This window comes from Homo sapiens, chromosome 17, assembly GCF_000001405.40.
Source record: "Homo sapiens chromosome 17, GRCh38.p14 Primary Assembly".
Classification (NCBI taxonomy): Eukaryota; Metazoa; Chordata; class Mammalia; order Primates; family Hominidae; genus Homo; species Homo sapiens.
The window spans coordinates 16,941,966-16,955,513 of NC_000017.11; the positions used below are offsets into that span (position 1 = coordinate 16,941,966).

The following is a 13,548-nucleotide window of genomic DNA, read 5'->3' on the forward strand; positions in this document are numbered from 1 at the left end:
ATGGACAGACCACATCTGTTTACGCATTCAACAGGGAATGGGCATTTGGGTTGCTTCCACTTTCTGGCTATTGTGAATGACGTTGCTGTGAACATTCACATCCACATGTTTGTGTGGATGGATGTTTTCCATTTTCTTGGGTGTATACCTAGGAGAAGAATGGCTGGGTCACATAATAGCTCTGTTTTGTTTTTTGAGGACCTGCTGGACTGCGTTGCACAGCATCTGCCGTTCACACTCCATTTTACAGATGACAAAACTGAGTGTCTAAGATATTGTTCTCGGTCTTAGACCTGCACCCGGGAGCCGGTCTCACCAATTCCCAGGCCGGTGCTCCAAGCCCGCGGGCCACACAGCGGCCCCAGGGCTGGCACTGCCCGTCTTCCTCACACACGCTTTTAGATTCAGGAATCTCATAAAGTGACAGAGCTGCCAGGACTCTTAGGGGTCATCAGTGTCACTCTGACATTTACAGGGGGGAGATGGGAACTTGGGGTGAGTTCGTGTCACTCCGCCAGTCAGTGGCTGTCCTTCTGTCCAGTGCCCAGAGCTCAGAGAGGCCTAACGGAGGAAAGCAAAGACCCCAGGACCTGCAAACTTGGTGCCACATATCCAAGGCTTACCTGCTCCTATTCACCTCTCAAATCAAATGCAAACACTGCCCTGGAGGCATGAGCAGGGGAGACGCTACCAGCCCTCAGAGCACAGACAGAATGCCAGGCTACAGGTTGTTACTAAGCGGAAATGAACGGCGTTGATTCAAGGAGGAAAACTAAACATTTGTGCATATTTCAAACATTTCATCATAAGATTCTGAAACCCAGCTTTCAGAGACCATGCAAGTGTTCAGAGACCACACCCAGAGCACAGTCACCTGACATCATGCCCTGTGGACCTTCTGGGCTGGACTGGGCCTCATCCTATCCAGGAGAGTGCCATGGGGGCGAGGTTGTGCCACTCCAGGCCTCTGCCTCAAGAAGGCCTGACAGCCTCGGTGTTTGCTCCCTTGGGCCTGAGCTACCACTCGAGAAGTCCAACTGGAGAGTCCCAGTGGAGAGGGGCAAGCCCTGAGATCAGCTGGAGGGGAAGCAAGGCCTGAATATCCCAGCATCAGAGTCAAGCCTCCAATGGCTCTATCCCCAGCACCATCTGCATGACAGACCCCAAGCAAGAGCAGCAGAAGACCCGCCTAGCTGAACCCTGCCTCCCCACAGAGCCACGCAGGGTCACAACATGAAGATGAGGATCTGGTGCCAAGTGTCCAGATCCAGTGACAAGTGTCCTTATACAAGAAGAGAAGGGAAGAGACACAGGCACGAGAGAGAAGCCATGTGAAGACAGAGGCAGAGATGGGAGTGATGCAGCCACAAGCCCAGGAGGCCTAGTTCTGACCTTATTCCCAGAAGGGGTCACGGGCACCCCCAGTGTCTGCAGGACACAGAGGCTGAGCAGTTCCATGGCTGATCACATGCCAGCACCTCTCCCTCCAGTTCTAATCTCATGCCAATGCACTGTCCTTCTGTCCCCCTCCCAGGTCTCTGGTTCCTATTATTGCCAGAAGTAGCCTCTCACAGGGCCCCTGCTGCTATCGCCACCATCCAGGGGCAACAGAGAGCTCTCCCCACAGCCCTGCTCTGACCCCCTTCTCCCATGGCTGCCCCTGCCCCCAGCAGGACATCAGCCTCCCAGCCTGGCACATAGGGCCCTCTGTCATCTGGCATCTGGTCCCTCCTAGTGCCATCTCCAGCTGCCCCTGAATCCTTGCTCTTCCCAACTCAGTCCTCTGCAACCCCCATGTTGGGGGACAGGGTCCTGCCCTTGGTGCTTTTCCTCGTCTTCTGCCGGACAGATGAGCAGCCCCACCCAGTAGGGCAGGCTGCCTGGGCCACCTGTTCCCCTCAGGGAGACACACACACTCCCTGCACCTGCCCCGGAGCCCGGGCAGGAAGCTCCTCGCGTCGGCCTGGAGTCGTCGCAGTAGAACCCCACGCCAGTCTCCTCTCCTGCTCAACATCTCAAGCCATTTTCAGTCCAGCTTGGGAGCCTGCCCTCCTCTCCCCACCAAGCGCCATGTGTGAGCAGCAGGGCTTTCTGTGCTCTCTTGGTGAGCATGTGGAGCGGTCAGTCTCTACCTTCAAAGCAGATCTGGGGTGGGGTCCCTCCTGCTTCTGTGGAGTGGCCACCACACTCCTGCAGGCTGGGAGCCCGAGAGGAAGGGATTTATCCCAGCCTCCAGCACAGAGCCCCTCACAGCCTCCCAACGGCACAGTTCTCTGCTCCTAGCAGCACCTGTACATGCTGTTGCCTCTGTCTGGAACCCTGTCTCCACCGTGTGGCTTCAACATAGTTGCTTTTTGAATGAGCAGTTCCAGCGCACAGAGCACATGCTCCCCCAAAAACATATTCTCCCAAATCACCCTCACAGCAGCTCTATGAAGGCGAACAACTCCAGCCTCACAGAACTAAGGCTCAGAGAGGGTCGGTAGCTTGCTCCAGGTCACACAGCTTGTGAGGGACATAACTAGGGGTCTGGCTCCACACTCCACACCCGCACCCCAGCCTGCCCTAAAGACTCCTCCTCGGGGAAGCCTTCCTTGTCCCCGTGTCACCTGCAGCTGGGTTACGTGGCTCCCGTGCACTGAGAGGAATTTGTCATCTGCGTGGCTTGTCCACTGCCTGGCCTTCCACGAGACAGTGAGCTCCATGGGTCTGGGACAGGAACTGCCTCATTCTCCCCACTCCCCATGCACAGCAAGCCTGCCACAGTTCCAGGTCCCACTAAGGAGTGGCAGTTCTGAATGGGATGCAAGAGAAACCTGGAGTCAGGGTGAGGTGGGACCTGGCAGGGCTGGAGACAGGGAACGGCAGAATTCAGGGAGCCCACGGAAGGGGGCAGAGAACAGGTGAGCCCTTCCACCGTGTGCAGCTGGACAACTTGGTCACATGGTGTCCTCTGCTCTCTGCCCTTGAATAGGTCCACCTCTGGGTCCCTCCCCTGGCCATGTGGCTCTGTACTTCCTGTTTGCAATCCACAGCAAGCTCCCCTCCTGCCCCACCAGCCCATGCAGGCATCAGAAGTCAGAACAGAACAGACCTTAACCCTGGGCCCCTGGAGAAATAAAGGGCAGGGTAGGGCAGTGCACAGCGACAGTCACAGAGCCACCAAAAGCCGCGCCATGGCACAAGTGTGGCAGCTGATGTAGGGTGAGGCATGGTAATGCCGACCCCACTGGCACCAACACATCCTCACACAGCCCCCAATGCTCACAGCCTTGGGCTCCATCCCTGGAGCCAAGATGAGGCTCCAAGGTTCTGCCCAGTGCCCTCTGGCAAGGGGGCTTGGCTGATGGTCACACACATGAAGTGGCTAACCTTGTCCCAGGGGCAACAGTTCACCGCCAAGGAGCAATAGCCTGCAGACGCCACTCTGGGTCATTTTGCTGTTGCAGAGGGGACAAACTTTGGAACCCCCAGACTGTGCTCAAATCCCAGCTCACTCACGCATTCCCTGTGTGACTGTCAGCAAGTCACTCCAAATTTGAGACTCACTCTCTAGATCTGTGAGGTGGCTAGGAATGACCCACGGGGGAATCTGTTGCATCAGAGGTGGGCAATGTTCCAGGTTTGCAGGAAGTTTCAAATGCATCACTGGATGCAGGGAAGGTGCGCAGGTGGCCAGACACCAGGGCGGCAGGCATGGCCCCTCGCATCTGTGGCTGGGCTCTTCAGCCCCTCTGTATCCACACCCCCTCCATGTGAATCTGCACTTCTTCCCCTCAGGAGAGGCTGTGCTAGATTAAAAATGGCCTTGAATTCACCATGGCTACAGGTTTCCCCCCTCCCCCAGCTTGCTCCTTCCACCAAGAGGTGGCGTCTGTTTCCCCTCCCCTGAATCCGCTGGCACTGTGAATGGAAAGAAATGCAGCGGTGGTGATGAAGTGTAAGTTACCAGCCTAGGTGGCGAGAGGACTGCGTGCTACTGTCTGCTGCACTCCTGTATCGTCATGAGATGGACGCACCTGGCCAGCCCACTTGTCCCAGGAGGAGGATGAGAGGCACATGGAGCAGAGCCAGCCTGGCACAGCTGAGCCCAGCCAAACCCCTGACTCGGGAGAAAGCACACACCTCCGCATTTGGGGATGGCTTGTTAGGCAGCAGCAGCTAACTGACAGGAGAGCAGGAGATGCCAGGCTAAGCAGGGACAACAGGGTGCTGGGCAACCTCCATCATCAGGCACACAGGCCCTGCCCATGGGACCTTAGCCCTGGGACCTGGCCTCATGGAAATGATGTTATCACAGGAAAGTCACTGCAAAGGAAAGGAACCAATCAGCCCCAAGAAGAGCAGGACAGGCCGAGAGCAGGGCAGATGCCATCGCTAGTATTTATGGATCCACACGGCATCCCTCTTCTGTCCTTTCTGATGCCACAGAGCAGGGCAGGTGCAAAAAGAGGTGTTTGCTGGGATAGGGTTAATTAGATCATTTCTGATGCCTGGCACTTACCAGATGCCCAGCTCAACAGGACCCTTCTTGCCATGTCCAAAGTGGCCATCTCCAGCCATAAGTTTTTTCATTTTCTTTACTTATTTTTTATTATTTTTATTTTTATTTTTATTTATTTATTTATTTATTTTTTTTTGAGACACAGTCTCACTGTGTCCCTCAGGCTGGAGTACAAAGGCACGATCTTGGCTCACTGCAACCTTCACCTCTTGGGTTCAAACAATTCTCCTGCCTCAGCCTCCCAAGTAGCTGGGACTACAGGTGTGCACCACCAGATCCAGCTAATTTTTGTATTTTTGGTAGAGATGGGGTTTCCCCTTGTTGATCCGGCTGATCTTGAACTCCGAACCACAAGTGATCCGCCTGCCTCTGCCTCCCAAAGTGCTAGGATTACAGGCATGAGTCACCATGCTGAGCCTTCTCTTTTTACAATTTTTTTTCCCTCTGGCAGTTGTTAATGAACTACTTAAACATTTTAAGTGATACCTTTCCCTTCTCTTTCTTAGGAAGCCTCTTTTGCCTCTAAATGGAATCTGATGAATTCACAGCCAGATTCTAGCAGATGCACAAAGAAGAGCTGGTACCAATTCTACTGCAACTATTCCAAAAAATCAAGGAGGGTCTCCTTTAACTCATTCTGGAAAGCCAGCTTCACTCTGGTACCAAAACCTGGCAAAGACACAACAACAAAAAAAAGAAAACCACAGGCCGATATCCCTGAGGAACATAGATGCAAGATGGATTACAGATTTAAATGTAAGACCCTAAACTATAAGAATCCTAGAGAAATCCTGGAAAATACCATCCTGGACATTGGCCCTGGGAAAGAATTTATGACTAAGTCCTCAAAAGCAATTGCAACAAAAACAAAAATTGACAAGTGGGATCTAATTAAATGAAAGAGCTTCTGCACTGCAAAATAAACTATCAGTGTAAACAGGCAACCTACAGAATGGGAGAAAATGTTTGCAAACTATGCACCCAACAAAGGTCTAATATCCATAATCTATGAGGAAGTTAAACAATTCAAAAAGCAAACAACAAATAACCCCACTAAAAAGTAGGCAAAAGACATGAACAGACACTTTTCAAAAGAAGACATGCAAGCAGCCAACAAACATGACAAAATGCTCAACATCACTGATCATCAGAGAAATGCAAATCAAAACCACAATGAGGGACCATTTCACACCAGTAAGAATGGCTATTGTTAGAAAGTAAAAAAACAACAGATGCTGGTGAGGCTACAGAGAAAAGGGAACGCTTATACGCTGTTGGTGGAATGTAAATTAGTTCAGCCACTGTAGAAAGCAGTTTGGAGATTCCTCAGAGGACTTAAAACAGAGTTACCGTTCAGCACAGCAATCCCATTACTGGGTATATATCCAAAGGAAAATAAACCGTTCTACCAAAAAGATACATACACACGTATGTTCATCACAGCACAATTCACAATAGCAAAGACATGGAATCAATCTGGGTGCCCATCGATGGTTGGATAAAGAAAATGTGGTAAATATACACAATGAAATACTACACAGCCATAAAAAGAAAAATACGTTTTTTGCAGCAACATGGATGCAACTGGAGGCCATTATCCTAAGTGAATTAATGCAGAAACAGAAAATACCACATGTTCTCACTTATAAGTGAAATGCTAAGTGTCGAATACAGATGGACATAAAGACAGGAACAACAGACACTGGGGCCTACTAGAAGGGGGAGGCAGAGAGAGAGGGCAAGGGCTGAAAAACTACCTATTGGGTGCTATGCTCACCACCTGGGTGACAAGACCATTTGTACCTCAAACCTTAGCATCAAGCAACATACCCATGTAACAAACCCTACACATGTACCCCCGGATCTAAAAAAAAAAGTTGAAATTATAAATAAAATAATAATAGAAATAAATGGAGTCTGCAGCACTGGTGGAGGGCAGGTGGTGGCTGCTGCTCAGGTGCTCACACAGGTGGGTCTGCTGCTTACTTGTGCCTGTGCTTCAATGACTGGCACAGCCTCGGCAGCCTCTAGTGCAAGGCTCTTCCTCACACGGCAGGTCCTTTCTCCTGCTTTCTTCTTGTCCACAGACTTCTGGAAATGTTGCCTACATTGTTTTTTTTATCCTGGGATGATCTCCCTGGCTTCTGGCCATTTGCTTGGACTCTGGGCTTCATGCATTGTGGACTCTCCTGTTCTAGGCCTGGCATCAGGCCTCCCACGCTTTCTCACCCTGCGTGACACCATGCAGGTTTGCCTTGGGTGGCTTACCTGGACTTGCTTCTGAGCCTCTGTGCTCCAATCCTTGGTACCTTCCCGAGTTGTCTGAATTGTTTTCAACTTCTCCACTCCGCTGTCTCCTGAGCTCTGGTGGAAGGTTCACTGGGCTCCTGAGCTTGTTCTCACAGAAGTATGCACATTGCTTAGGGTGCTGTCCACAGATGGAGGCACAGCTGATGCAGTCCCTCAGGAGATGGTCATAGAACTTGCCTTGCTCCTTGCGGCAGCTGAGTGACCCTGGGAGAGAGAAATTCATGATACTGCTGGGTGACACAGACTAGCAGGAACTCTGGGTTTGACCACAAAGGACATCAAAGTTAAAAAAAAAAATACAGTAAAATTCCAGAAGGCAATTCCAGAGTAAGCCAAGTACTTTTACAATATACACATTGAAGACTATGCATTGTCCTCTAAGTACTATTTTAGCTGCATTGCATTTTGATGTGTAGTATTTTTCCTCTACCTAGATCAAAATGCACTTATTTTTCATTATTATCTTTTCTTTGACCTATGGGTTATTTACAAGTGCATTTCTTAGTTTCCAAACGTATGAAGATTTTCAGTTATCATTTAAAATTTAGATCTGGATTACATTGTTACATAAGACTTTTACTTGCATTTTTCAAGCCTCATCAAGGAGAAATATATTTCAAATCAGCATAAGGAAAGAAGGGGAAAAGCCAGAATCCTCTTTGACAAGCTGGGGGAGGGGGCTGGAAGGAAGGTGGAAAAGTTCACATGAATAGTGTTTCTTCTGTCTTAATACTAGATGAGAATTACAGCAGCTTACACAAGTATCAGTGCCAAGGCACAGAAGCCAAGGAAACTAAAGCCAAATCACACTTGCCTTAAGAGAGCACAGTGGACCCAACTTTGAATGCATAAAGAAACCTATTTGGAACAATCAATTATCTTATCTAAAGTCTCAGAATATTTCTAATTTTTTTTTTTTTTTTGAGAAGGAGTTTCGCTCCTGTCACCCAGGCTGGAGTGCAATGGCACGATCTCGGCTCACTGCAACCTCTGCCTCCCAGGTTCAAGCAATTCTCCTGCCTCAGCCTCCCGAGTAGCTGGGATTACAGGCGACCACCACAACACCCGGCTAATTTTTGTATTTTTAGTAGAGATGGACTTTCGCCGTGTTGGCCAGGCTGGTCGTGAACTCCTGACCTCAGGTGATCTGCCTGCCTCGGCCTCCCAAAGTGCTGGGATTACAGGTGGCATGAACCACCGCATCTGGTCTAGCCTCCGAATATTTCTACATGGAAGTTTTTACGTGAAAAAGGCAAGTTTCCTTTGTATTTAGAGTAAGGTATGGCTTTTGAGATGTCCTGACTTCGTAAATATGAATAAATAAATAAATAAATATGTATAAATAAAATATATGTGGCTCACACATATATTTTAAGGACACATTTTGGAGACAGTGCAGGATAGTGGATAAGAACCCAAATTTCAGAACCAAATTTCAGTTGGGGCCATCCCTGGCTGTACCACTTGCAGGCAGTGTGGTCTTAGCCTCTCCGTGCCTCAGTTTCCTCATTTCCAACATAGGGAAAATAACAGTACTGACTTCTTCGTAGGGTTGTTGGCAGAGTTGTAGGGCCCAGCACAGTGCCTGGCACATACTAAATGCTCACGTAATGGAAAGCTTAAGTAGAATATTCATTTGAGCCTCTTCACAAAGCAAACAGATCCGTTCTTGTGTCTTTGACAGAGTAAAGGAAGGAACTAAAAGATCACGGAATTGGGACCTTAGGGAAAACTCAGATGGCCCACATAGGGCCAGTGACCTCCCCTGCTCTGGCCCTGCCCTATCCCCAGGGCGCCCCTGAACCGCACAGAAACTGACACCTCCACTCTGCATCACACAGGGTTAGCCCAGCATTGGTGTCCTTGGGGCTTTCTGTGACCTCCTCCCCTGTTGCAGGTGGTGCTGTTGCAGGTGGTGCCTGAGTGCCCCAGCCCACTGACCCTCCCTGCCTGACCTCACACCCCTCCCTGCCTGACCTCACACCCCTCCCCTCCCCCGCCTGGGACTCAGTCCTCCCCACTGTGTTTCCCTCCTCTGAGCCTCTGCTCATAGTGCCCTTTCTTCCAGGTGCCCATCTGATTTCCGCATTCTGTGACCTCTTAACAATCTGCCTCTGATGGTGCTTCCTCTAGGGACACCTCCCTGCTCCCCAGCCCTTTAGCTGAAGGGGGTCTCTCCCAACTGTGGCTTTCTACCTTGACACATAGTCATTTCTCCCATTAGATGACACTGTCTTTGAAGGGCCACGGCAGATTCCTATTTCCATGGGGCTGGAGCACTCCATCTATGTTTGTGGGATGAACCAATGAATGTTCTAATTCATTAATGGGTAGTGGTTCAGGTCATGATTTAGGAGTCGGAGTCCTGGGTTCAAACCAGGATGTCGCTGTGACATCTCCACTTTTAAACTGGGTGATCTTGGGTGAGTCACTCAGCCTCTCTGAGTTCCCCGCAATAAGTATTCATGAAGGACTTACTATGTGTCAGGCACTGTGCTAGGCTCAAGTCAGACATGGTTCCCCTGCCAGGGAGCTCCCAGTCTAGTGGTTGAGTCAGACATAAAACACATACACATGAAAGAACAAAACAGCAAATTGTGGTAAGTTCTATCAAGGAAAAGAACAGGTTATGAAAAAGAACAGCAAGCAACGAATAATTTTCAAGACAATCAGGGAAAACTGGATATTGCCTGAGTATTAGATGATGTTAATAAATTATTGCTGGCAGTGATAGGATATTTGGATTATGTTTCACAGGTTTTCGTGGTCCAGTATCTGCAGGTAAAATTATATGAGATCTTGGCTGTGCTTTAAAATACACAAGGCAGGCTGGGTGCAGTGGCTCACGCCTGTAATCCCAGCACTTTGGGAGGCCGAGGTGGGTGGATCACCTAAGGTCAGGAGTTCAAGACCAGCCTGACCAACATGGAGAAACCCCATCTCTACTAAAAATACAAAATTAGCCGGGTGTGGTGGCACATGCCTGTAATCCCAGCTACTCGGGAGGCTGAGGAGGGAGAATCACTTGAACCCGGGCGGTGGAGGTTGCGGTGAGCCAAGATCGCACCATTGCACTCCAGCCTGAGCAACAAGAGCGAAACTTCATCTCAAAAAATAAAAATAAAAATAAAAAATAAAATAAATAAAATAAAATACACAAGTCAAAAAAATTGGTTGGGAAAGTACAAGGCAGAATTTAAACAATTTGTGAAGCTGGTGATGGGTGCAGAGGGCGTCATTGTGCTGTCCTCTCTATGTACATGTGTGATAAGTTCTGTAATAAAAAGTTTCAAAAGAATGTAACAACACACAGTGACAAGGGAGGGCCTAGTTCTACTGGGTGGTCAGAGGAGACCCCTGACGTTTGGGCTGAGACCTGAAGGTTGAGTAGGAGGGAGCTGAGGGAAGATGATAGAGGGAATGCATTCCAGGCAGCGGGAATAGCATGTGCAAAGGAACTGAGGCAGGAAAGAATGGACTGTGTTTGAGACACCGAAAGGAGGTTGTGTGACCAAAGCAGAAAGGTGGAGGGGTAAGAGGTGCCACACTGTACATCTCCTCCTGCCACCCTTTCCTCAGCCACCTGACTGTGGGGCCAGAGGGTGCTCTAGGGAGAAAGGAGGAGGGTGATCACACTGTCCCCTCGGCTCAGGCCCCAGAACTCACTGCAGAAGGCTGCACAGGTGCGCTGGCTCTGATGGTTGCAAATGGTTTTGCAGGACATGCAGGTACCCAGCAGAGGATCCCAGTACTGCTCTTCGGGGCAGGATCTCATAGCCACCCCCGTCCACAGGCCCTGTGGAACTGAGAGACCAGGAGAGTGAGGGCAGCTGGCAGGCGGCCACAGCCCGGCCTCTTGTCCCTGATGGGAACCAAGACGGCCTCTCCTGCCCACATTCGCACAGACAACCTTTCTGTCTGAGGAGCAGAGAGGGCAGACAAAGTTGGCTTCTAGCCCCCACTGCACTTGCTAGGGGCCTGGGGCAGCCACCTCCCCTCTCCAGCCTCAGTTTCCCCATCTGCACATGGTTGTTTTCAGGCCCCCTGCTCTCTCACATCAGCAGTGCCCTACTGGGCCCTGTTCCCTGCCCTCCTTAACGTGCCACGCCTCTCCCTGCCACAGGGTCTTTGCACCTGCTGTTCCCTCACATGACGTGCCCTTCTCCCCAGCCCCTGCCCCTCAGCTGTTTATTCCTTCTCAGACTGAGACCTCTGTCTAAACCTGATCTCCAAGGGAAGCCTTTCTGACTCACCCCCTAGACTAGGACACGGTCCTTCTTCTACACACTCGCACTGCCCTTTACCTGTTGCTGTGGTCACTTTCCTTCTATGCATGTGGTTATTTGATGCTGGCTCCTACACTAACTGTGAGCACCATCTGGCAGGGACTGTGCCTAATTTTTCTTATTAATTGCTGAGTCCTCAGAACCTAGATAGTACTTAGGACACAGCACCTGCTCATTAAGTGAATGGTTTCTTTAAGTACGGACCAACTCAGTGCCTAGCACACAGCAAGAACCAAGAATGTCAATTTCCTTCTTGTTTTCTTTTTTACTAAAGTATGAAACAACCACAATGATGTGTGTAAAGTGCACAAAAAGCTGAAGAATACAGCTTGGTGAAATTTGATGTATGTATGCACCTGTGTCATTACAGCCCACATGGAGATGTAGGACATTTCCTCACCCCTGAAGCCTCCCTGGGGTCCCCCGACACCCAATGCCCATGCCTAGAGGGAGCTACTGTTCTGTTGTTACCCTCATAGGCTAATATTGCCCCTTCTGGTACTTCCGTGTCTGGTTTTGTTCCTCCACTTGGTGCCTGAGACTCATCCATGTGGGCGCTCTCTGCATGTCTGGTTTTGTGTTACTGTGAATCTTCCACTGTGTGCATGCATCACCTTCTCCATCCTCTTCTGATTTCATGACATTTGCTTCCCCCAATAACTTCTCCTTAAAAATGCTTAAAAGCATTTTGCAAGGCATATGTTTGTTCTTTTTTTTTTCTTAGATGGAGTCTTTCTCTGTTGCCCAGGCTGGAGTGCAGTGGGTGTGATCTTGGCTCACAGCAACCTCCACCTCCCGGGTTCAAGCAGTTCTCCTGCAGCCTCCCAAGTAGCTGGGATTACAAGTGCATGCTACCATGTCTGGCTAATTTTTGTATTTTTAGTAGAGAGCGGGTTTCACTATGTTGGCCAGTCTGGTCTCAAACTCCTGACCTCGTGATCCGCCCGAGTCGGCCTCCCAAAGTGCTGGGATTATAGGCATGAGCCACCACGCCCAGTGGCATGTGTTTGTTCTTTAACGAAAGCAAGCTGAGGGAAGACCAGAGGTGGCTGGGCACCATGGCTCATGCCTGTAATCCGAGCATTTTGGGAGGTAGAGGTGGGAGGATTTCTTGAGGCCAGGAGTTCAAGATCAGCCTGAGAAACATAGTGAGATCCTGTCTCTACAAAAGGATTTTTAAAATTAGCCACGTGCTGTAGTCCCAGCTATTCAGGAGGCTGAGACAGGAGGATCGCTTGAGCCTGAGAGTTCAAGGCTGAGGTGAGCTATGACCACATCACTGCACTCCAGCCTGGATAACAGAGTGAGACCCAGTCTCTAAAAAAGGAAAAGAAAAAAGACCAGGGGCCTCTCATTTAACACGGCAGCTTAAACACAGGGGTTTATCTTCCTTCCCTCCTGAAACCATGCAAAGCTGACAGTCAAGTCCATCTATCTTCAGAGATCAAGGGAATGGCAGAGGTTTCTACAGCAAAGAACACATGTCTCTAACATTCTGGGAGATGGAGGAACCAGAGTGCCTGACTGCCTTTGAGAATCTCTCATCATTGATGCCTACATGGGAAGGAAGTTGTTCTGAGTCACAGAACTCAAGGAAGTCTCCAGATTTGGAGGCACCACGTATCTCTGACGGCAGGGCTGGGCAGAAGGGGTGAAGCTCTGTAAGAGGATTGGTTGGAAACTTACATAAAGAGGGTGTGACCCCAGCACATCCCCATTCCAAGGCAGGTGCCAGTCCCTCACCCACCCAGGCATAAGAGTGGGGTCTCCTTGGACACAGCTGAGGGTAGCAACGTGGTCCTTCCTGGCAACAGGGGAATTGTGATAATCTTCCTCCTGGACAGCCAGTCTCCCCTCTCCTTACCCACCCCAGTTTCTATCTAAGGAGTGTGGCAACCAGGTTTTTAAAGATGCCTCCCTCCCTACCCTGCAACTGGCAGGAAATCAGAAGTCTCTGCTCTGGGAAAACAGACCCAAAGGAAAAGACCCAGAGGCACTGACAGCGGGAGATTCTCTCCAGAAAATGTCCAAGTCCCTGCCTGATCCCACTGGGGCAAAGCTTCTACGTCAGTGAGCCCAACTGCTTACCCAGAACTTCCAGGCAGCTGTCAGTGCCTCAGTCTGACTTGTGAACCAATGGCCAAGGGTCACCTGATATGGGAGCACTGCCTCTAGCAGGAAAGCAAACTCAAACCAAACAGAAGGCAGACACCTGGTGCCAACGAAGACACGCGGGAAACAGAAGAGCATTTTAAAACAAGAGCAGCAACAGTTGAGATCCCCAGAAATATAAGAGAGGATTGTGTATCTAAGAAACAAAACAGCAGACTATTGTAAAGGACGTTCGTAGAACAAATGAGAATTGTTAGAATTATAATTTATAGCCAGAATAAAAACATCAGTAGAAGGGCTGGAAGATGTAATCGAATAAATTGTCTAGAAAATAAG

At 49.7% G+C, this 13,548-nt stretch overlaps 1 protein-coding gene across 1 annotated transcript in view, besides 5 other annotated features; it reads right to left on the reverse strand.

Moving 5' to 3' along the window:
• Positions 1–13,548, reverse strand: part of TNFRSF13B (TNF receptor superfamily member 13B) — a 33,038-nt gene that overhangs the window by 2,885 nt on the left and 16,605 nt on the right. The window contains exons 2-3 of the mRNA NM_012452.3: positions 10,481–10,618; positions 6,773–7,018 (exon numbers count right to left, since the gene is read on the reverse strand). Coding sequence (NP_036584.1) covers positions 6,773–7,018; positions 10,481–10,618 — 384 coding nt within the window. The remainder of the gene's footprint in view (positions 1–6,772; positions 7,019–10,480; positions 10,619–13,548) is intronic.
• Positions 1,477–1,977: an enhancer, noted in NCBI's record as "H3K4me1 hESC enhancer chr17:16846756-16847256 (GRCh37/hg19 assembly coordinates)". NCBI's record gives its function as "activates a minimal SCP1, AML or CMV promoter by ChIP-STARR-seq in naive H9 embryonic stem cells {active_cell/tissue: H9 hESC(naive)}" and the evidence as "EXISTENCE:reporter gene assay evidence [ECO:0000049][PMID:30033119]".
• Positions 1,978–2,478: an enhancer, noted in NCBI's record as "H3K4me1 hESC enhancer chr17:16847257-16847757 (GRCh37/hg19 assembly coordinates)". NCBI's record gives its function as "activates a minimal SCP1, AML or CMV promoter by ChIP-STARR-seq in primed H9 embryonic stem cells {active_cell/tissue: H9 hESC(primed)}" and the evidence as "EXISTENCE:reporter gene assay evidence [ECO:0000049][PMID:30033119]".
• Positions 2,540–3,063: an enhancer, noted in NCBI's record as "H3K27ac-H3K4me1 hESC enhancer chr17:16847819-16848342 (GRCh37/hg19 assembly coordinates)". NCBI's record gives its function as "activates a minimal SCP1, AML or CMV promoter by ChIP-STARR-seq in primed H9 embryonic stem cells {active_cell/tissue: H9 hESC(primed)}" and the evidence as "EXISTENCE:reporter gene assay evidence [ECO:0000049][PMID:30033119]".
• Positions 3,588–4,111: an enhancer, noted in NCBI's record as "H3K27ac-H3K4me1 hESC enhancer chr17:16848867-16849390 (GRCh37/hg19 assembly coordinates)". NCBI's record gives its function as "activates a minimal SCP1, AML or CMV promoter by ChIP-STARR-seq in naive H9 embryonic stem cells {active_cell/tissue: H9 hESC(naive)}" and the evidence as "EXISTENCE:reporter gene assay evidence [ECO:0000049][PMID:30033119]".
• Positions 4,112–4,635: an enhancer, noted in NCBI's record as "H3K27ac-H3K4me1 hESC enhancer chr17:16849391-16849914 (GRCh37/hg19 assembly coordinates)". NCBI's record gives its function as "activates a minimal SCP1, AML or CMV promoter by ChIP-STARR-seq in naive H9 embryonic stem cells {active_cell/tissue: H9 hESC(naive)}" and the evidence as "EXISTENCE:reporter gene assay evidence [ECO:0000049][PMID:30033119]".